The sequence below is a fragment of the Homo sapiens genome, chromosome 19 (genome assembly GCF_000001405.40).
Source record: "Homo sapiens chromosome 19, GRCh38.p14 Primary Assembly".
Lineage (NCBI taxonomy): Eukaryota > Metazoa > Chordata > Mammalia > Primates > Hominidae > Homo > Homo sapiens.
This window is the reverse complement of record NC_000019.10, coordinates 50,649,409-50,670,712: the sequence shown is the minus strand read 5'-3', so window position 1 is coordinate 50,670,712 and position 21,304 is coordinate 50,649,409. Positions and strand designations below refer to the sequence as shown.

The 21,304-nt window shown below is 55.3% G+C and overlaps 3 protein-coding genes across 7 annotated transcripts in view, besides 4 other annotated features; 2 read left to right on the top strand and 1 right to left on the bottom strand.

Moving 5' to 3' along the window:
* SHANK1 (SH3 and multiple ankyrin repeat domains 1) overlaps positions 1 to 11,458 on the top strand; it is a 60,548-nt gene extending 49,090 nt beyond the window's left edge. For all 4 annotated transcript variants that reach the window (XM_011527014.3, NM_016148.5, XM_011527013.3 and 1 more), the window contains 2 exons: positions 1,428 to 4,521; positions 8,031 to 11,458. In XM_011527014.3, the coding sequence (XP_011525316.1) occupies positions 1,428 to 4,521; positions 8,031 to 8,748 (3,812 nt within the window). In that variant the 3' untranslated portion in view covers positions 8,749 to 11,458. The remainder of the gene's footprint in view (positions 1 to 1,427; positions 4,522 to 8,030) is intronic.
* Positions 7,631 to 8,288: an enhancer, noted in NCBI's record as "H3K4me1 hESC enhancer chr19:51165682-51166339 (GRCh37/hg19 assembly coordinates)". NCBI's record gives its function as "activates a minimal SCP1, AML or CMV promoter by ChIP-STARR-seq in naive H9 embryonic stem cells {active_cell/tissue: H9 hESC(naive)}" and the evidence as "EXISTENCE:reporter gene assay evidence [ECO:0000049][PMID:30033119]".
* Positions 8,289 to 8,947: an enhancer, noted in NCBI's record as "H3K4me1 hESC enhancer chr19:51165023-51165681 (GRCh37/hg19 assembly coordinates)". NCBI's record gives its function as "activates a minimal SCP1, AML or CMV promoter by ChIP-STARR-seq in naive H9 embryonic stem cells {active_cell/tissue: H9 hESC(naive)}" and the evidence as "EXISTENCE:reporter gene assay evidence [ECO:0000049][PMID:30033119]".
* C19orf81 (chromosome 19 open reading frame 81) lies at positions 11,407 to 21,268 on the bottom strand. 2 transcript variants are annotated; one of them, NM_001195076.2, is made up of 5 exons: positions 21,202 to 21,268; positions 14,591 to 14,663; positions 14,367 to 14,487; positions 12,585 to 12,724; positions 11,407 to 11,766 (listed from the first exon to the last, which is right to left on the bottom strand). In NM_001195076.2, exons 1-5 carry the CDS (start codon positions 21,266 to 21,268, stop codon positions 11,571 to 11,573), a joined length of 597 nt encoding a protein of 198 aa, NP_001182005.1. In that variant the 3' UTR covers positions 11,407 to 11,570. The 2 variants fall into 2 exon arrangements, with proteins under 2 accessions (NP_001182005.1, XP_047294715.1); XM_047438759.1 differs by lacking the exon at positions 21,202 to 21,268 and adding an exon at positions 20,916 to 21,172.
* Positions 12,463 to 12,552: a silencer, noted in NCBI's record as "silent region_10974". NCBI's record gives its function as "represses an Ori minimal core promoter by ATAC-STARR-seq in GM12878 lymphoblastoid cells {active_cell/tissue: GM12878}" and the evidence as "EXISTENCE:reporter gene assay evidence [ECO:0000049][PMID:35858748]".
* SYT3 (synaptotagmin 3) overlaps positions 12,608 to 21,304 on the top strand; it is a 36,129-nt gene continuing 27,432 nt past the window's right edge. The window contains exon 1 of the mRNA NM_001424346.1: positions 12,608 to 12,703. The gene's annotated coding sequence lies outside the window, so the exon portion shown is untranslated. The remainder of the gene's footprint in view (positions 12,704 to 21,304) is intronic.
* Positions 12,773 to 12,842: an enhancer, noted in NCBI's record as "active region_14995". NCBI's record gives its function as "activates an Ori minimal core promoter by ATAC-STARR-seq in GM12878 lymphoblastoid cells {active_cell/tissue: GM12878}" and the evidence as "EXISTENCE:reporter gene assay evidence [ECO:0000049][PMID:35858748]".

The window sequence follows — 21,304 nt, the reverse complement described above, 5'->3', positions numbered from 1 at the left end:
AAGGTCCTGAGGTCGGGCTGAGTCTGGTGCGTTTACAGAACAGGGAGGAGGCCTGTGTAGCAGGGGCCAAGTGAGCACTGGACATGAGGGCAGTGGGGGGACAGGGTCCCGATCCTGCAGGGTCTGGGGAGTCATGGTGAGGACTTGAACCTTTGCCCTGAGTGAGGTGAGTGAATGGCAGGGCTCTAAGCAGAGGAGGGACATGAGCTGACTTCGGTTTTAACAGAAACCCTCTGGCTGCTGTGAAGGGACTAGATTGAAGGGGATGAGCTGGGAAGCCGGGGGACCAAAGAGGAGGTGACAGCTATTGCTATCCAGATAGGAAATGATAGTGGCTGGCCCAGGGTGTTGACTCTGGAGGGGTGAGAAGGGATTGGATTCCGGATATGTTTTGAAACAACAGGATTTGCTGGTGGATTGGATGTGGGTGACTTGAGGAAGAAAGCTAAGAGTGGCTGCAAGGTTTTCAGTCTTAGCACCTGAAAGGACAGAGCTGCTGTTTGCTGCGGTGGTGGGGAGGGACCGTGGGCTGGGAGGAGTCTGTTGGTGAGGAGATCAGGAGCTTGGGTTGGAGCGTTTGGAGTCTGAGATGCCCGTGAGACAGCCAGCTGGGTGTGGGTATTTGAATATAGGGGCCCAGAGCTCAGGGCGGAGGATGGGGCCCCAGGCATAAACGTGGGCGTCGACAGCAGAAAGGCAGTGAATGAAGCTGGTCACTAGTTGAGAGGGAGTAGTCAGAGGTGAGAAGAGGTTCAAAGACCGAGCCTTGGCAGTGAAGTAAGCAAAGACTTAACTCCTGCACGCCTCCTGGAGTTGTTTTTCCCTGATTGGATTCAGCTTTCCCCAACTCCTGGCGTTCAAAGTCCACCAGTGTGAGTCTTACACTCCCACTGAGTGTGGGGTCCACCTGGCTCGCATCGTTTACCTGATTTTTTTTTTTATAGATCCAATCCCTTTTAAACTTTAGCCTCATCATAAGTGGTTCTCTCTGTAGAATCACAGCTTTGATGTGCTGGTTGCATTTCTTTCCCGCATATACGTGAAAAGAAACACGCATCTATGCATAAACACGAGGGGACTATCCCTTCCCAGCTCCAGCCACTTTTGCTGGCCCCAAACCGTTCACTGAGCCTTTGAACGGAATTAGAAAATGGCGCCCCCTCCTGGCGTGGGGAGGAAGTTCTGCTGAATTTCAGTTTCCTCACCTTCCTTGCGGTTTGCAGTTGTGCAGTGCACAACCTGTACCTCTGTATGAAGCAGATTTGGGTTTACCTCAAATAGGGAAGAGCTGGGCGAGTCCACGTGAAGTTCCTGGCATATACGGGGTGCCATTCTTGTCATTAGTATTGTTGCGGTTCTATGGGATAGTGGAGCAGGGAGACCCTCCCCGCCAGGGTCCCCCTCCTTGAGCCTCTGTATCTCCCCAGGTGCGGCAGAAGATGACAGACCTTACCTAGCACCCCCAGCCATGAAATTCAGCCGCAGCCTGTCTGTGCCTGGTTCGGAGGACATTCCCCCGCCACCCACCACGTCCCCACCGGAGCCTCCCTACAGCACACCTCCAGTCCCCTCCTCCTCAGGGCGCCTCACCCCCTCCCCTCGGGGAGGGCCCTTCAACCCTGGCTCTGGTGGCCCCCTCCCCGCCTCCTCCCCTGCATCCTTTGACGGGCCCTCCCCTCCCGACACTCGCGTGGGGAGCCGCGAGAAGAGCCTGTACCACAGTGGGCCCCTGCCCCCGGCCCACCACCACCCGCCCCACCACCACCACCACCACGCCCCGCCCCCTCAGCCCCACCACCACCACGCCCACCCCCCTCATCCTCCCGAGATGGAGACAGGCGGCTCTCCCGACGACCCTCCACCCCGCCTGGCTCTGGGGCCCCAGCCCAGCCTGCGAGGCTGGAGGGGCGGCGGGCCCAGCCCGACCCCGGGGGCCCCGTCCCCATCGCACCACGGCAGCGCGGGCGGGGGCGGCGGCTCCTCCCAGGGCCCGGCTCTACGCTATTTCCAGCTGCCCCCGCGGGCGGCCAGCGCAGCCATGTACGTGCCCGCCCGCTCGGGCCGCGGCCGCAAGGGCCCGCTGGTCAAGCAGACCAAGGTGGAAGGCGAGCCCCAGAAGGGCGGCGGCCTCCCGCCCGCGCCGTCGCCCACGTCCCCGGCCTCCCCGCAGCCGCCGCCCGCCGTGGCCGCGCCCTCGGAGAAGAACTCCATCCCCATCCCCACCATCATCATCAAGGCCCCGTCCACCAGTAGCAGCGGCCGCAGCAGCCAGGGCAGCAGCACCGAGGCGGAGCCCCCCACCCAGCCGGAGCCCACGGGAGGCGGCGGCGGCGGCGGCTCCTCGCCCAGCCCCGCCCCGGCCATGTCACCCGTGCCCCCGTCCCCCTCGCCCGTGCCCACCCCCGCCTCGCCCAGCGGCCCGGCCACGCTGGACTTCACGAGCCAGTTCGGGGCCGCCCTGGTGGGGGCGGCCCGGAGGGAGGGGGGCTGGCAGAATGAGGCGCGCCGGCGCTCCACGCTGTTCCTGTCCACCGACGCGGGGGACGAGGACGGCGGGGACGGCGGGCTGGGCACAGGGGCGGCCCCGGGCCCGCGGCTGCGCCACTCCAAATCCATCGACGAGGGCATGTTCTCCGCCGAGCCCTACCTCCGACTGGAGTCTGCGGGCAGCGGCGCGGGCTACGGCGGCTACGGGGCCGGTAGCCGAGCCTACGGGGGTGGCGGGGGCAGCAGCGCCTTCACCAGCTTCCTGCCCCCGCGACCCCTGGTGCACCCGCTGACCGGCAAGGCCCTGGATCCCGCCTCCCCGCTGGGGCTGGCCCTGGCCGCCCGCGAGCGAGCGCTGAAGGAGTCCTCGGAGGGCGGCGGGGCCCCCCAGCCGCCTCCCAGGCCCCCATCGCCCCGCTACGAGGCCCCGCCGCCCACCCCGCACCACCACTCGCCCCACGCCCACCACGAGCCAGTGCTGCGTCTCTGGGGGGCCTCCCCGCCGGACCCTGCGCGCCGGGAGCTGGGGTACAGGGCCGGGCTGGGCAGCCAGGAGAAGTCCCTTCCCGCCAGCCCGCCCGCCGCCCGGCGTTCCCTGCTACACCGCCTGCCGCCCACCGCTCCCGGGGTGGGGCCCCTCCTGCTGCAGCTGGGGACGGAGCCCCCGGCCCCGCACCCCGGAGTAAGCAAGCCCTGGAGGTCCGCAGCCCCCGAAGAACCCGAGCGGCTGCCGCTGCACGTGCGGTTCCTTGAAAACTGCCAGCCCCGGGCCCCTGTGACGAGCGGAAGGGGTCCCCCCTCGGAGGACGGGCCGGGGGTCCCGCCGCCCAGCCCACGCCGGTCCGTGCCCCCCTCCCCGACCTCCCCGAGGGCCAGCGAAGAGAACGGGCTGCCCCTGCTGGTCCTGCCGCCTCCCGCCCCCTCGGTGGATGTGGAAGATGGCGAATTCCTTTTCGTGGAACCGCTGCCTCCGCCTCTGGAATTCTCCAACAGCTTCGAAAAGCCAGAGTCGCCCCTCACGCCTGGGCCTCCCCACCCGCTGCCCGACACACCTGCCCCTGCCACCCCGTTACCCCCTGTGCCACCCCCGGCTGTGGCCGCAGCCCCTCCCACCCTGGACTCCACCGCATCCAGCCTGACATCCTATGACAGCGAGGTGGCCACCCTGACCCAGGGGGCCTCCGCCGCTCCTGGGGACCCCCATCCACCAGGCCCGCCTGCCCCAGCAGCACCGGCTCCCGCTGCCCCACAGCCTGGCCCGGACCCTCCGCCTGGCACGGATTCTGGCATCGAGGAGGTGGACAGTCGGAGCAGCAGTGACCACCCACTGGAGACCATCAGCAGCGCCTCCACGCTGAGCAGCCTATCTGCCGAAGGTGGTGGCAGCGCAGGGGGTGGGGGCGGGGCTGGGGCCGGTGTGGCCAGTGGGCCGGAGCTTCTGGACACCTATGTGGCCTACCTGGACGGCCAGGCCTTTGGGGGCAGCAGTACTCCCGGCCCGCCATACCCTCCTCAGCTCATGACTCCCTCTAAGCTCCGGGGCCGGGCGCTAGGAGCCAGCGGAGGCCTGCGGCCTGGCCCCAGCGGGGGACTCCGAGACCCTGTTACCCCCACCAGCCCCACCGTCTCGGTGACAGGGGCTGGAACCGATGGGCTGCTGGCCCTGCGTGCTTGTTCAGGACCCCCCACGGCAGGCGTGGCGGGGGGTCCGGTGGCTGTAGAGCCAGAAGTCCCACCGGTGCCCTTGCCGACGGCCTCCTCTCTGCCCCGGAAGCTGCTGCCCTGGGAGGAGGGCCCGGGCCCACCGCCACCACCTCTGCCCGGGCCCTTGGCCCAGCCTCAGGCCTCAGCCTTGGCCACAGTAAAAGCCAGCATCATCAGTGAACTCAGCTCCAAGCTTCAGCAGTTTGGGGGCTCCTCGGCAGCTGGCGGCGCTCTGCCCTGGGCCCGAGGAGGCAGTGGGGGAGGCGGAGACAGCCACCACGGGGGAGCCAGCTATGTCCCCGAGAGGACCTCCTCCCTGCAGCGGCAGAGGTAAGCGGGGGCTGGTGGCCAACAAGGGAGGCCAGAGGTGTTGATGGCATGGCTGTGTCCCTTTAGGGTCTCAGGGTGGCAGAAAGGAAACAGAAACCAGGTTGGCAGGAGTTTGCTGTCACAGAAGCATGCTTTCACAAATATTTTCTTTTTCTTTTTTTTTTTTTCTTTTCTTTTCTTGAGAGGGAGTTTCACTCTTGTTGCCCAGGCTGGAGTGCAATGGCGTGATCTCGGCTCACCACAACCTCTGCCTCCCGGGTTCAAGCGATTCTCCTGCCTCAGCCTCCCATGCCACCACACCCAGCTAATTTTGTATTTTTAGTAGAGATGGGGTTTCTCCATGTTGGTCAGGCTGGTCTCGAACTCCCAACCTCAGGTGATCCATCCGCCTTGGCCTCCCAAAGTGCTGGGATTACAGGCATGAGCCAACATGCCTGGCTTTTTTTTTTTTTTTAGAAACAGGGTCTCACTCTGTCACCCGGCTGGAGTGCAGTGGTGTAATCATAGCTCACTTGCAGCCTCAAACTCCTGGGCTCAAGCAATCCTCTGGGACTATAGGTGCACGCCACTATGCCTGGCCAATTTTTCTTTTCTTCTTCTTTTTTTTTTTTTTTTTTTTTTTTTTGAGACAGAGTCTCACTCTATTGCCCAGGCTGGAGTGCAGTGGTACAATCTCAGCTCACTGCAACTTCTGCCTCCCAGGTTCAAACGATTCTCCAGCCTCAGCCTCCTGAGTAGCTGCGATTACAGGTGCCCGCCACCATGCCCGGCAAATTTTTGTATTTTTAGTAGAGATGAGGGGTTTTGCCACGTGGGCCAGGCTGGTCTTGAACTCCTGACCTAAGGTGATTCATCCCACCTCGGTCTCCCAAAGTGCTGAGATTCCACACATGAGCCAGCATGCCTGGCCCTGGCCATTTTTTCTTTAACTTTTTGTAGAGACAAGCTACGTTGACCAGGCTAGTTTCAAACTCCTGGGCTTAAGTGATCCTCCTGCCTTGACCTCCCAAAGTGTGATTACAGGTGTAAGCCACTGGGTCCAGCCTTTAAATTTCCATTTATTTCAGTAGCTTCTGTTGTCTCTGCCCATCACCATCACAACCTACATCCCATGATGAACAAAAAGTTATTAACAGGCTGGGCGTGGTGGTTCACGCCTGTAATCCCAGCACTTTGGGAGGCTGAGGCGGGTGGATCATGAGGTCAGAAGATCGAGACCATCCTGGCTAACACGGTGAAACCCCATCTCTACTAAAAAAAATACAAAAAATTAGCCGGTCATGGTGGTGGGCACCTGTAGTCCTAGCTCCTCAGTAGGCTGAGGCAGGAGAATAACTTGAACCCGGGAGGCCGAGGTTGCAGTGAGCCAAGATTGCACCACTGTGCTCCAGCCTGGGTGACAGAGTGAGACTCCGTCTCAAAAAAAAAAAGTTATTAACAAAGGAGACTGGAGTGAGACCTGCTTATGTTTGTTTCCTTGGTGAGCTGCCACTTCTTTCTGACAGTCCCTGAAATCTGTGAGTCCCTTGAAGCCAGTGTGGTTCAAGACAGGATGCAGTTATAGGTGTGGTTCTAGAGCCCACCTTCTCAGCTTCCAGTCCCAACCCTGCACTTTCTACCTGGGTGATCTTAGGCAAATGAATCCACCTCTCTGTAGAAGTGGAATGGCCTAGTGCCAGCCCAAAGAGTTTTTGAGAGGATTTAGTGTGTGCCATTGTTGTAACATGGGATGGGGGAAGAGGGGGCCTCGAACAAGAGCCCAGCAACTTCTACGTGGGGAAATACGGGATGATGCAGATGCTTCCCAGAGCAGCCAGTCAGCTGCATCGTCGCAGAATTCGAGCCCATTCAAGACCTTCTAGTCCTAGAGAAAGTAGAGTTACATTTCTGCTTCAGATACACAGAGGGTTGGGAGCAGGTTTTAAATATCCTTGTCCATCTACAGAGTTCACTTGAATTCTGTTTGAAGGTCTGCTATCCAAATGTGTCTGACCTTCAAATGTGGGTTCAGGGAGTGTATATTTGGGGCAACTTAAATCTATGCTCCCAGGTTGAAAAAAAAAAAAAAAGAAAGAAAAGAAAAAGGAGGCTGGGCACAGTGGCCTGCCTCTGTAGTCCCAGCTACTCAGGAGGCTGAGGTGGGTGGATCACTTGAGCCTGGAAGGTTGAGGCTGCAGTGAGCTGATATGACACCAAGGCACTGCAGCCTGGGGAACAAAGTGAGACCCTGTCTTAAAAAAAAAAAAAAAAAGAGAGAGAGAGAGAGAAAGAAAAGAAAAAGGAAGTGTATATTATTAGAGCAACTTGAATCAATGCTCCTACGCTGTAAAAATAAACAAACAAATGTGGGTTTATTAGGCCTTTAAGAACTGAATGCAATTCCTTGACTATTCTTAAGTATTCTGGTTAGAGAAGAGGATTTTTTTTTTCTTTTCTTTTTTTTTTTTTCCACTGCTTGTAGCAGCAACAGGAAGGATGCTTAATTCAGTCAACAATTGCATTAATTATTGACTCATGACCTATGTGTGCAGAGTGCCCTTCTGGGTGATGGGATCCCCTGCTGGACAGGACAGGCAAAGACTGTGCAACTCCACAGGGCTCATAGTCTAGGGACATAGGAGTGGGGGCGGGGCAGTAAACAAAATAATTGCAACCATCCTACAAAAAAAGCTACCACAATGGGATGGGTGGAGAAGGTCTCTCATGTAACAGGCAAGGTGGGCAGAGTAATGAAAGTGGAGAGGGAGCAGCTGCCCAGGGCAAGAGTGAGCCAGGCAGGGGGAGCAGCCAGTTCAAAGGCCCTGAGGTGGGACAGTGCTGGAGGGGAGGGAACGAAAGGGATGAGGGGAACCTTTTTCTCCCCTTGTTTCTTCTCTCTTTCATCTCCCTCTCTTCATCTCTCTCTCTCTGTGTCCCCTGTCCCTTCCATCTCTCTCCCCTGGATGCTCACCCTCTTTTTGTCTCTCTCTCACTGTCTCCCCATCTTTCACTCTGCTACGACTGGCCATAACCTGAAAGGCAGTATAGAATAGTGGTGAAGAGCTCAGACTTTGGTGCCATATAACCGGGCTCTGCCACTTCCTGTGTGTCCTTAGGCAAGTTATTTAACCTCTCTGTGCTGATAATAATAGTAACCTGCATCAGGGCTGTCGTGGGGATTAAACTGAGATGCAATCATGTAAAGCACTTAGAACAATGCCTGGCACACGTGAGCATCAGTAAGCGGTGACGATTATTATTATTATCACTTAATGTCTCTTTTTCTTTCATCTCTCTTAACTGTCGCCCTCTCCCTGTCCTCTCATCTTTCTCTCCCTTCATTTCTTTCCTCGACGGCCGGCCGTCTTACCCCTTGCTCCCTCCATTTCTTCCCGTCTCTCCTCCGTCTCTCCCCCTACCCTTATGTCTCTCCTCCTCTCTCCCTATATCTTGACCTCTGCCTCTTTCTCACCCCTGCCCTTGCCCCCTAAATCCCTGTCCTCCCCCACTGCCCCCTTGTCACATTCCAGACTCTCCGACGACTCCCAGTCCTCACTCCTCTCCAAGCCTGTCAGCAGCCTGTTTCAGAACTGGCCCAAACCACCTCTGCCGCCACTCCCCACCGGAACAGGGGTCTCCCCTACAGCCGCTGCGGCCCCAGGGGCCACCTCACCCTCAGCCTCCTCCTCCTCCACGTCCACCCGCCACCTCCAGGGCGTGGAGTTCGAGATGCGGCCCCCTCTGCTCCGCCGGGCCCCCAGCCCCTCGCTGCTGCCCGCCTCGGAGCACAAGGTCAGCCCTGCGCCCAGGCCCTCGTCCCTGCCCATCCTGCCTTCCGGACCCCTCTACCCAGGCCTCTTTGACATCCGTGGCTCCCCAACTGGAGGGGCAGGAGGCTCGGCTGACCCCTTCGCCCCAGTCTTTGTGCCGCCACACCCGGGGATATCCGGGGGGCTCGGGGGAGCCTTGTCAGGGGCCTCGCGCTCCCTCTCACCGACCCGCCTGCTCTCGCTGCCCCCGGACAAGCCGTTTGGCGCTAAACCTCTGGGGTTCTGGACCAAGTTCGACGTGGCTGATTGGCTGGAGTGGCTGGGTTTGGCGGAGCACCGAGCCCAGTTCCTGGACCACGAGATCGATGGCTCCCACCTGCCCGCCTTGACCAAGGAGGACTACGTCGATCTAGGTGTGACCAGGGTGGGCCACCGCATGAACATCGACCGGGCTCTCAAATTCTTCCTGGAGAGGTGATGGCTGGCCTGGACGGACCAGCCCCGTCCACAGAACTCTTGAGCCTGCTGGCCTCTTGACCTCTGACCCCTGACTGTCATTCTCTCCCCGGGCCAGGGACTCTGTTCAAACTGCGCCCTGCCCTCATCTCCCAAGGCCAGAGGTCACCAGGTGGCCCAATCCAGGCCGGACATTTGCACCTCACTGAAGGGGGGCAGCTGACACAAGAGTGTGTGTGTGTGTGTGAAGCGGGGAGCGGAGGGGGGATAGGAGAAATTACAGAGGGGAATTGAGAAGGAGGGAAGGGCCTATTCTGGGGGGAGGGGATAGACAGAGCCATAGAGGGTCAGCCCTGAGCCCGATTGGATGGGGACTGTCCCCCAGGCCGCAGGGGAAGGGGGTGCCCTCGGATTCCACCACCTGCCACCCCTCTAACAACCCTTCCCACTCTCTCCAGGCCCCTCAGCTCTCCCCCCTTCCCCTCTCCCCAGCACACACAGCTGCCCCCCTCAGCCTCTTGCACGCTCCGTTGCACGCCTGCTCACCTCTCTCCCCTCCCGTCCCCGGGCTGCAATTTTGCACAAATTTGCCCTCTCGCTGTCTTGCACATTCTGCCTTTGCTTCTGGCTGGCGAGGCCCGCTCAAATACACTCTGCTCTCCTCGCACACGCTGCATTTCCTTTCTCACGCTCCATGCCTCCTTCTCTGCTTCTTGCTGCTTACACACTTTTCCCCTACCAGGGCCCTCCTTTACACACTCCATTTCACATCTCCTCCTCCCCGCTCGCTCTGGACCCTTGTTGCAGACACACTTGGGACACATTTTCCCTCCCCCTCACAGACTCCATGCACATCATTCATTCTCTGGAGTGCCCTGCTCTTTGCTCAGCCCTTGCACACTTGCTATCTTATGCACCCCTCCTGACACACTCTTACCTCCATTTTCTTACGTTGAAGCACTTTCCCTTCTTATTCTTAAAAACCCCAGATTCTTCCACTCCCCAACTCTCCCCTCTCACCATGACACTCCTAGCCCCCCACCCCCCGCCTTCCCTCTTGCCCCTTTTGCACCGTCACTTTTGGTCACGCCTTTTGCACACTTGCCTCCCAGAAACTGTTTCTCTCACACATGCTCATTCTCTTCTTCTTTGCCAGGCTCCCACTCCCTTGCCCCTTTCTGTTTGAAATCTTTGCCCTTCTGCATTTTTGATTCTTTTGTGAACCCTCTTGCACACTTGCTTTTGCACACGCGCCCCCCCCCCCAGCATTTTCAGTGCTCTCCGGAAGCCTTGTTTCTCCCCTTTAATAATGTTCTTGCGCACCATGACATGGCTGCACACCGCATCTTGTCTTTTCTACCTGGATGAGAGCTCTACCACTTCTTTCCTTTTGCACACTCATCTCATTCCATGCACTCTTGGGCTGTAACTGTCATTTCTTTTCCTGACACGCTTATTTTTTATTCCTGTTGACAAGCAGCTCTTGCGGCCATTCTCATTCGGATTCTCTTACCTCCTTAAGCTCTTTCTCTTCCTGGTGAGAGAAGACCCTATGCACACTGGCTTCCTGCTCACCATGCTTCCACACTCGAGCCTCTCCCTGCCTCCAGCCCTCACCCTTCCTCACATCCTCCCTCTTCTGTCTTTCCTGGGCCATCTGTCCATCCCTTTTGCACGAAGATTGCCCTCTCCTAACCTGTCCACTCCAAGAAGCTCCCTCTCCCTCCAGCATGGCTGTTCCTTCCCGCACGCTTCCTCTCTCCGCTTATTCCCGGGGCTTGGGAATGTTAAGCCACCCCTCCCCCTGAAAAGCCCCCTCCCCTGCTGTGGGTAAAGGGGGGAGGGCGTTGCCCTCAGGTCCCCCCCCCATGTTCAGCTGCCAAAGAAGGGAGCTCCCCCTCCTTCCCCAAGCCCATTCCCCCTCTGCTGCCCCCTACCCCCGAGAGGGGGGGGCGCTCCGTCCATGAGGGGAGGGGGCTGCAAGCCCCCTCCCCTCACCATGTCAGGGATCTGCGGGGAACCTCGTGGGAGGGTCGTGGGAGGGGGGAGGGGTGGTGAGAGAGGGGCAGAGGCCGCGCTGGACCCCTACCCGCCCCCTCCCCCTTGTCGGATGCCCCCAGTCCGCAGGGGGCCTGCGCGGCGCCCGTCTATCAAGGGCTCGTTCATTCTGGATGGGTGCCGCGGGGTTGGGGAGGGTGTAGGGGGTGGGGGGGGGAGGAGAGGTCGGGGTGGGGAGTGGGGAGGGACCGAATGCGGGGACAGCGCGGGGTGGAGAGGAGAGAAAAAGCAAAAAGAGGAACAATAACAAAAGAAGAAAATATAAAAAACAGAAAAAAAAAACACAAAACCCCTAGAACACACAAAAAAATCCAGAAAAAAAACCTGAAATAAAAGCCCGAGAATTGTCTTCCAAGGGGGGGTGGGAGGGGAAGAGGAGGGGGGCGGATGAGGACGTCTGATTCTCGCTGAGACAGGGCTCGGCACGCGCTGAAAGCCCCGGTGCCCAGGTCTTCCCTTTCGCGGGCTTCAGTTCATCCCTCAAGGGATTGGGACCCAGGCGTCCACGTACAGGGACTGGAGGAAGATTAGGGACGCGGGATTATAACATGGGGGTTCATTCCTACCCCCCATCACCTCCCTTCCCCTGACTCCCCACCAAGATTTTGCAGAGAGAAATGGCTTTTGTACCAGGTCATTCTTTATAATTAAACTCACAGTATCCACCCCCTCGAGCCGGCCCCGCCTCCTTCCTGGGAAGGCAACGCCCCCTGTCCTCCGGGGCTCCGGGTGGGTGGCCCCAGCCCGCGGGGCGGTGCGCAAGCGCTGCCGGGGCCCGCCCGGGCGTCAGGCCTCCTCGTTCGGCTCCGCCCCCAGGGCCTCGAGCATGCGCCGCCGGACCAGGGAGCGGCGCAGGTGCAGGCGGTAGTCGCCCAGCAGGAGGTCGTCGTGGCGCACGATCTGGTGCGCAAGCCCGCGGGGACTGAGCCCGGAGCGCAGCAAGCGCGAGCGCGTCTGGAAGTCCGTGACCGCGATGAGCCACCTGTAAGGGGGGTGGGGACGGAAAAGGAACTCGCAGGTCGTTTCAGCCCTGGCTTTGATCGTCGAAGAGTCCCTGCCTGGTCCCTGGAGTCGTTTACAGGCCCTGGTCCAGCGGACCATCGCTCCGTCCCTAAACTCCCCTCCAGCCCTGCCCTCTCGCCTGGGTCGCTCTAGGCTCCTTACGCTCTCTTAGCCTGGTTCTGCGTCCTAATCACTGTCTGTCGAGGCTCCATCTCAAACCGCCCAAAGGCCCGACCCTCCACTGGCGACTGCAGGCTGCGCTCTACCCTAGGCACTCCAGGCCTGTCCCCACCCTATCACCCCTGGCCCCACACCTACTATGTGCTCAGTCTCTTCCACCCCCTCACAGCTGCCTTTCCAGGCTCAGACCTCTATCCCGGTCACTACTGGGTCACTCAAACTCGGGCCCCTACTCACTCGAGATCCCTCCTTCTCTCTGATCTCACCGGACCTTACCTCCAACCGCGCTCACTCTTGGCCCCGCCCCTCAGTGGCTCTGCACCAATCTCGCTCTTATCTAGTCCCTCCTGGCCCCGCCCCCCCAAGCTGTCACTCCACTGTCGCCCCGCCTCACAACACCCTTACACCAACCACGCTCTTATCTAGTGGCTCCGGGGCCCGCCCCTCAGCACCCTTACACCAACCACGCTCTTATCTAGTCGCCCCGGGCCCCGCCCATTCATGCTTTCACTCTTGGCCACGTCCCTCAGCGCTCTAAAACCAACCACGCTCTTACCCGGTCGCCCCGGGCCCCGCCCCTCCCGCTCGCTCCAGGCCCCGCCCCCGCCGCTTACTCACCGGTTCCGGCGCCCAGCAGTCCCACAGATGACGTTCATGTTCTCAAAGCGGATGCTGCTCACGCGCCCGCTCTCCATGGCCCCTGGTAACTGGGCCTCCAGGGCTTGCAGCACCTCCAGGTGGGTAAAATCCTCCTCGGGCTGCGGGTGTCGGAGAGAGAACCTCAGCCCGTGGCCTCCTGGTTCATTTTGGGTTCAGAAGTCACCACCCTAGACCCCACCTGCAGAACCTGCCACAGAGTTCCAGGTGGCATTTGAGGGGCAAGGATCGCTCTTAATCCCAGGGTACTGTCGCTATGGTCAAAGGAGACGACAGATTATCTCTCAGATGGGAAAGCATCTACTATCACTCTAGGTCATTCTCCAAAAAAATCAATTCTCACCAAGCCAATTTGCCCCAAAGTCAATGAACAGTTGGCTGAATGATTCACCAACTTAGCCAACTTTACGAATCTACCAAAAACTTTCCCAGCAATTTGCAATGGATGCGCCTGAAAGTTCTTGAAAATTTCTGCCAGGATTTAAGTTACACACCTTTCCTTTTATATTCGTATTAGCATTTTAAGAATGTTCAGTAGTCAAAAGATAAGGGTCATAGGGGTTTTGATGTCTTGTCAATCTATTTAACATTCAGAAACGTGGACTGATCACTAAACACAGTTGCATCACGTGATTAGCATGTCAAGGGTGATAACAGTTGTCATAGCACATAAAATTGCTGAGGAACTAAAATGAAATGAAAATTTTCACGATTTCACTGAAAAATGATGTCACTTCCAGAAAGTCATTCCTTGACTGGGGTGAGAGGGGAGGCTGGAGAGTCCCTTGCTCAAAGCCACAAAGAAGTGGAGTGATGGGGTGGAGACTGATCCCTAAAACGAGGACAGCAATCCCTGTATGCAGGGTGGAGAGTTACACGGATTAGCTGAGAGGGTACCTTGGAGGCCTGTGCCTGGCACACAGTAAGCACCTATTGACATCAGCTCTTCTCAGTCAATTGTTGAGTGCCTGGGACTCTCATATATACCTCTTCTGATTGAAGGCAGGGAGGACCAGTTTACTGAATCTGTCAAAAACATGACCTCTTTCTTTCCCTCCCTCCCTTCCTTCCTTTCCTTTCCTTTCCCTCCCTCCCTTCCTTCCTTCCTTCTTTCTTTCTTTCTTCCTTCCTTTTTTTTTTGACAGAGTCTCACTTTGTCACCCAGGCTGGAGTGCAGTGGCACGATCTCGGCTCACTGCAACCTCCACCTCCCAGGTTCAAGCGATTCTCCTGCCTCAGCCTCCCCAGTAGCTGGGATTCCAGCCACCTGCCACCACGCCTGCCTAATGTTTGTATTTTTAATAGAGACGGGGTTTCACCATGTTAGCCAGGCTAGTCTCAAACTCCTGACCTCTAGTGATCCACCCACCTCAGCCTCCCAAAGTGCTGGGATTACAGGCGTGAGCCACCGCACCCGACACACATGGGCTTTTTCTTGAGTTTTTGTTATATTTGTAAACTTTACAGAAGTGGATTAGTAGGACTCCTTTTGTCCTCCCTCCCTGCCCCCCTCAGCCTCCCCTTTCTTTGCCCGTTGGTCTCCCCTCTGACATGAGCAGTAGATTTCATGACTGACCCTTTGACAAATTCACAATCAGTTTTCAGCAAACTGTCCTGGTGGCAAGCCCACAGCTTATAAGCCAAAAGCCTGAATTTAAACTCTGGCCACACTGCTTCTCAGCCTGTGCCCTTCCCATCACCCCACCAAAACTGTGCAGAAAATAAGGGCACAGGTCCACTCACCAAGGTCTCCATGCAGAGGCAGAGGGGCTGGGAAGCTGGTGGTGTGGGGAACTTCCGGATGCACGGGAGTTCTCGGTCCAGTGCCTCGTACTCTGCAATGACCTGCCGCAGGTACTGCTTTCTAGGGAGAGAGCGAACAGGCAGGGACCTCTGAGGTCAGGGTTCACTGCCATCACATTTGGGGAGGCGGAAGATAGAGGTCATGGGGGCCAGGGACAACTCACGAGGATTTGATGGGCCTGCCCAGGCTCCGAGCCTGCATCTCCTCTGGGGTCTCCAGGTCCATAAGGAGGGCTCCTGAGGACAGAGAACCCAGTGTCAGCTGCCCTGAGCCCTCCTCAGCCATGATTCTGCTTAAATGGCCATCACCAATTGCTTGCCCATGCCACACCCAGAATAGCTTGTATGCCAGATGTTGAGTTACTGTCTCTTAGCTCCAAACTCCACCCCATGACACCGGCTCTGTGATGCCTGGGTTGAGACTCTACTAACCACATTTCTCCTTCAACAGCTGGGTTCCTATTAGGCTCTGCCTAACAGGGGCGCCAGTGGGAGCCTGCAAGGCAGGAGGAAGCAGGAGGAACTTGCTCCTTTTTGCTTCCTCTTCTAGTCACCCCAGGCTTACTTCTTCACTGTGGCAGCATCACTTCAGTAACAACACTTGAATCCAGTTTTCAGGTTTTTTGTTTTTTTTTTTTGAGACAGAGTCTTGTTCTGTCGCCCAGGCTGGAGTGCAGTGGCGCAATCTCGGCTCACTGCAAGCTCTGCCTCCCGGGTTCACGCCATTCTCCTGCCTCAGCCTCCCGAGTAGCTGAGACTACAGGCACCCGCTACCACGCCCAGCTAATTTTTGTATTTTTAGTAGAGACGGGGTTTCACTGTGTTAGCCAGGATGATCTCAATCTCATGACCTTGTGATCCTCCTGCCTCGTCCTCCCAAAATGCTGGGATTACAGGCATAAGCCACTATGCCCAGCCCAGTTTTCAGTTTTTCCAACACTCTCAGAATCAGTCTCCTGATTGGAACTTCACAGATAACAGTTCTCAAATATGGACCCTTTTTGACCACCCCACCATCAGCTAACTGGTCTCTCTCTTATGGCCAAGTGCTAGTTGTTCCATGCACTCCATTTTCCCCTTCCCCTACAATCCTAGAGTTTTACCCAGCACATGGCTTCCCAGCTAGAGACAACAGTTCCCAGACTCCCTTGCAGGTAAGTGTGGCCATGTGACCATGCTCTCACCAATGAAGTGTTAGCTGGAGTGAGAGGTGTAACTTTGGAGTCATTTGCTTAAAAGATTACTGCTTTTCTTGGACTCTGCCCTTTCTCTTGGACTGGAATGTGGATTAGCAATAACCCAGCCTCCACCATGTTCAGATATGGCAAGCAACAGTATGGGAGGAACTCTTATCTCTAAATCTTCTCACCAAGCCAAGATGTCCCACAACCCTGCCTTTCATTACACAAGAGAGAAATACAATTCTGGTTCTTGACCAGCTGAGGCAGGTAACATAGCAACACCCTATCTCTACAAAAAAAAATTTTTAATTATCTGGGCATGATGTTGTGTGCCTGTAGTCCCAGCTACTGAGGAGGCTAGGGTGGGAGGATTGCTTGAGGCCAGGAGTTAGAGGTTGCAGTGAGCCATGATTGTACCAATGCACTTCAGCCTGGGTGACAGAGAAAGGGAGAAAGAGAGACAGAAAGAGAGAAGGAAGGAAGGAAGGAAGGGAGGGAGGGAGGGACGGAGCCTGGTGCAGTGGCTCACTCCTGTAATCCCAGCACTTTGGGAGGCTGAAGCGGGCAGATCACGAGGTCAGGAGTTCGAGACCATCCTGGCCAATATGGTGAAACCCCATCTACTAAAAATACAAAAAAGCCGGGTGTGTTGGTGTGTGCCTGTAGTCCCAGCTACTCGGGAGGCTGAGGCAGAAGAATCACTTGAACCCAGGAGGCAGAGGTTGCAGTGAGCCAAGATTGCGCCACTGCACTCCAGCCTGGGCGACAGAGTGAGACTCCATCTCAAAAACAAAAAGAGAGGGAGAGAAAGAAAAGAGAGAGATGGAGGGAGGGAAGAAGGAGAAAGAGAGGAAAGGAGCAAGGGAGAAAAGAAAAGAAATACACTTCTGTCTTCTTTATGATGTTGTGTTTTGGGGTGTCTTTGTTATAGCTGCTGAAAGGGAGGGAAGCAGACACTGACAGCCCGGCCCTGGTGCTCTCCTGCCGAACATAAAACATTTCCCGTAACACCAACATCAAGCAAGGCCACTCTGTGACCGTGATGGACTGAGACAAAAACAAGACCACCCCTGAATCATGTCTCAACACAACAAACATGAACATTGTCCAAACCACAAAAATGACCAAAATCCCCCCCTCCCAGCTCAGAGCCGACGGCTGCTTTTTCATTAACCCCAGCATTAGCTCCATCTACCCCTCCTGGTTCCCAATGAGATGAAGATTCCCAGTCATGGGCTTGCCTGTGCTTTCCATCAGTCTCCCATCCAGAGCAAAGCCCCACCCCCGTGAACCCTCCCCAAAGTCACCTGACACAGCCCGGCTCTAACAATAAGTCCTTGCTAACACCCTTCTACTGAGACAACGTGTGTGTGTGTGTGTGTGTGTGTGTGTGTGTGTGTGTGTGTGTGTGTGTGTGTGTGTGCTGTCTCTCATTACAATAAGTCAACACATTCAACTTGGTTTAACTATAGTCAGTGGTGTGCTGGTATATGTTTCACAACGGGCTCTCCTGCACACTCTCACACACACACGTGCGGTAGACACTTACTCCAGGGCCCACCCCCAGACCTACTGGATTCAAATCTACATTTTCACGGGATCCCCTTCCAGAAATACCTACCCTCATTATTTTCTTCCAGTCATACCGGCCTCCCTCCATCCCTCAAACACAGCCATCCCCTCCTCAAGTCTGTCCACTTAACAATATAACTATGTGCTTACTGTCCCTTTTATATGCCAAACACTTTAAAAAATACTTTCCACTGTGGCCGGGCACAGTAGCTCACGCCTGTAATCCCAGCACTTTGGGATGCCAAAGTGGGCAGATTGACTGAGCTCAGGAGTTCGAGACCAGCCTGGCCAACATGGTGAGATCCCATCTCTACTAAAAATACAAAAAATTAGGCGGGCATGGTAGCGCGCACCTGTAGTCTTAGGTACTCCGGAGGCTGAGGCAGGAGAATTGCTTGAACCCTGGAGGCAGAGATTGCAGTGAGCCGGGATCGTGCCACTGCACTGCATCCTGGGCGACAAAGCAAGACTCTAGTGCCAAAATAAAATAAAATAGAATAGAATAAAATACTTTCCATTGCATCCTCACAACAACCTTCCGAGGTAGTGTTGTTTAACACATGATGAAACAGAAGCACAGAGAGGTTAAGTGACTTGCCCAAAGTCACACAGCACAAAATGATAGAATAAGGATAAAAATGTAAGCATCTGGATCCAGTGTGCGTGTTCTCAATCTCCCCAGGTGCCTTCCTCTCACCTCACTCTCACCTGGTCTCCTAACTCCTCTCGCTCTCCAGTTACCCCAGCAAGGCAGGATTTTGACATGTAGACCTGACCCTATGGCCCCTTCCTCAAAACCCTCCCAGGACTTTTCATTGTCTGTGGGATGAATAAAGTCCAAAGTCCTTCCAGTGACCATAAGACCACACGTGATCAGACCGTGCTAGTGTCTTAAACCTGATCAAGCACAATCGTCCTTTTCACCTGCTGCAGTCCAAAAACGCTGTTTTTCTGCGACTTGGACTCTCTGACCCCTCCTGCTGCAGGATCTTGGCCAATGCTGTAACTCTGCGTGGATCTCTCTTCCCCCTCATTTGGCTAATCAAGTCTCCCTGAGGGTCCACTGATGCCATTCCTCATAGCACAGTATGTTTGTACTCATAGTATTGCAATTTTACCTTTATTTCTATGATTCCCTAATTACACTCTGTCTTCCCTACGTCTTCTGAGCAACGTAAGGGCAGGGACTTGTGTTTTCGTCCCCAGCATCTAGCAAAGTGCCAGGCTTATAGTTGTCCTTAGTATTTATTGAATAAAGCCTGAAATGTGTGCACTTTGTTTGGGCCCTAATTTAAACAAGCCAACTATAAAAAAATACAATTTTGAGATAATTAGGGAAATTTAAATATGTACTAGGTATGAGATGATATTCAAAAATAATTATAGGCCGGGCATGGTGGTTCACACCTATCATCCCGGCACTTTGGGAGGCTGAGGCAGGAGGATCGCTTGAGCCCAGGATTTTGAGGCTGCAGTGAGCTACAATGGTGTCAATTCATGCCAGCCTAGGTTACAAAGTGAGTCCCTGTCTCAACACAATAAATTAATTTTAAAAAATAGCCTTGTACAAGCGTTAAATGAATCAAAAAGTAACTCTAGCAGCATCAAAGATGCATGTGAAAAAATGTGAATACAATAGTTTCTCATGAAATATGACATTAGAAATAAGAACTATTTCTAGTTACAACAGTGATTTTAATATATGTAAATGTATTTAATACATTTAAATGTATATGTGTAATTAAATTAACATAAGCATAAACTTAAAAATAAGTACTTATTGAAAAATTGAGGAAATGCAACCATTTCAAGCTTTTTTTTTTTTCCTTTGGTGACAGAGTCTCACTGTGTTGCCCAGGTTGGAGGGTCATGGTGCAGTCATAGCTCACTGCAGCCAGGAACTCCTGGGCTTAAGGGATCTTCCTGTCTCAGCCTCCCAAGTAGCTGGTTAAATTTTTTTAACAGGCATCTCAGAGGGCCCCTGTGTGCCTTGGAGGATGCTGGGGACCAAGAGATGAATGAGACACACCTCTGCCCTTTCAGAACTCTCAGATAAAGGGCAATGTGTGTTTCAATGAAAGTGTTACAAGGTGGAGGGAAAGCCCAGTCTCCCGGTCTAGGGGCAATCAGGGAAGGCTCTCTAGAGGAGGTGTCCACAGTGAGACCTAAAGAATAAGAAGGTATTTACCAAATAAAGAGGTGACAGAGAGAAGGATGTTTCCCATGAAGGGCCTAGCATGGGCCAAGGTTTTTGAGCAAAAGAGAAGAGAGTCACCTGCAAGAACTTCCCAGAATTCCCTTGAGCCCCAAGACTAAAGAGCGCTTATTGCCATTGGAGGCTATGAATGATCTGTGAGATGGCGTGTTTCACGTCTCCTCTCCCAGCATGAGAACAAGCCAGGCCGTTTCATCCATTAGGCACTACAGGCAAAATGCTTGGGACCCAGGGGCTTTCTAATGGCCTATGCTGAAGTTTGCAACCTGATCAACTAAAAAATGTGATTGGTTCCACAACGCTGCAAAGAAAACAGCAAAATCGAAATGAACAAACGTCGATCAACAAAACTAGCCAACTGGTCGACTCAACTCCACTTGACTTTTCTGGAGCTACATATAAATTACATGTCACGTGGGTGCCTCAGTCTAGGCTAGAGATGGTGCATTGTGGGGTCTCCAAAAGAAAGATGCCTTCAAAAGCACTAAAAGAGACCTAAAGGCAGAGAAACAACGCCTGTTTTGCCATCAGGGCATTTGTTCGGCCTCGAAGGCTGAGGTGGGAGGATCACTTGAGCCAGGAGCTCAAGGCTGCAGTGAGTTTTGGTTTTGGGTGTTTTTGTTTGTTTGTTTGTTTGTTTTGTTTTTTGAGACAGAGTCTCCCTCCATCACCCAGGCTGGAGTGCAGTGGCACAATCTTGGCTCGCTGCAGCCTCTGCCTCCTGGGTTCAAGCGATTCTCCTGCCTCAGCCTCCCTAGTAACTGGGATTACAGGCACCCGGCACCACACCTGGCTAATTTTTGTATTTTTAGAGATGGGGTTTCACCATGTTGGCCAGGCTGGCTGGCCTTGAACTCCTGACCTCAGGTGATCCACTCACCTCGGCCTCCAAAGTGCTGGGATTATAGGCGTGAGCCACCACACCCAGTCCTGAGTTTGGTTTTCTATTACCTGCAGTTACATGCATCCTCACTGAGATACTACTCCATAAATGTTGAATGAGTGTAACTGCATGAGCTGTGCTACAGCACAGAGTGCTAGCAGGAAGTGCTGGGCTAGGAGCCTGAAGTTGTCAGCAGGGGTCAGACCACACAGGGCCTCAAAAGCCAGGCTGGAGCTTTGGGTCTCTGTCCTAGAGGTGACAGGAAGCTAGGAAGTGTTATGAGCAAGGGACAGCCAGGATCACTGCAGGAAGTCAGAGAGACCTCTCTGGAGCCATGGAGGGATAGGTAGGAGGAGAGAAACTGGGGACCAGGGAGGAGGTGAGGAGAGGGTCCACATGGAAGAGGATGAGACCTGGGACAGGGCTGCGGGGACAGAGAGGAAGGAATGGGGAAGGGAGAGTCAGAGGGCAGGAAGATAGGGCCTGATGGGCTGTGGGAGGGAATTGTGGGAGGTGGAAGGATGGCACCAGTGACTGGGTTGGCGGTGGGGCCATTTGAAAATGGAAACCAGGAAGGAGGAGAGCAGCTTTGGGGGAAGATGCTGAGCTCAGGGTGGGAGACAAGACAGTGAGGTTACCTAGGAGAAGAATGGCCTCAGAGGTGTTGCTTAGGCCCCAGAGGCTCATGGGAAATGTAGTTCTGAGTCCAGGGCATTGGCCAAGGAACTGCAGAGGCTCATGGGAAATGTAGTTTGAGGTCCAAGGGGGCCGCTCTCCAGGAATCTGGTGAATCCAGGAATGCTAGGGATGGCTTTCACTTTGGAGTGCCAGTGACTCGCTTAAGGCCACACTGTGAGCCCGGGCTACTACGCACTGCCTGGATGGAGGAAGTCCACCCCTTCCCCCAAAGACACAGCTCAGTACCTGCCTTCCTGTGCATGGTGGGGCTGCCCATGGCAGGGAAGCACACGGGCTCCACCTCTGGCTGCATCCTGGGAAGGTGGGTGAGGGATGTCTCAGGAAGGTG

Excerpts from the sequence above, each read along its gene's own strand:
- C19orf81 (NM_001195076.2), bottom strand. The coding sequence starts at position 21,268 with ATGCAGCCAGAGGTGGAGCCCGTGTGCTTCCCTGCCATGGGCAGCCCC. Across the intron at positions 14,664-21,201 it reads CACCATGCACAGGAAGGCAG|GAGCCCTCCTTATGGACCTG; the intron begins GTACTGAGCTGT and ends CTCTGTCCTCAG. Across the intron at positions 12,725-14,366 it reads GCCTCTGCATGGAGACCTTG|CCCGAGGAGGATTTTACCCA; the intron begins GTGAGTGGACCT and ends CGACACCCGCAG.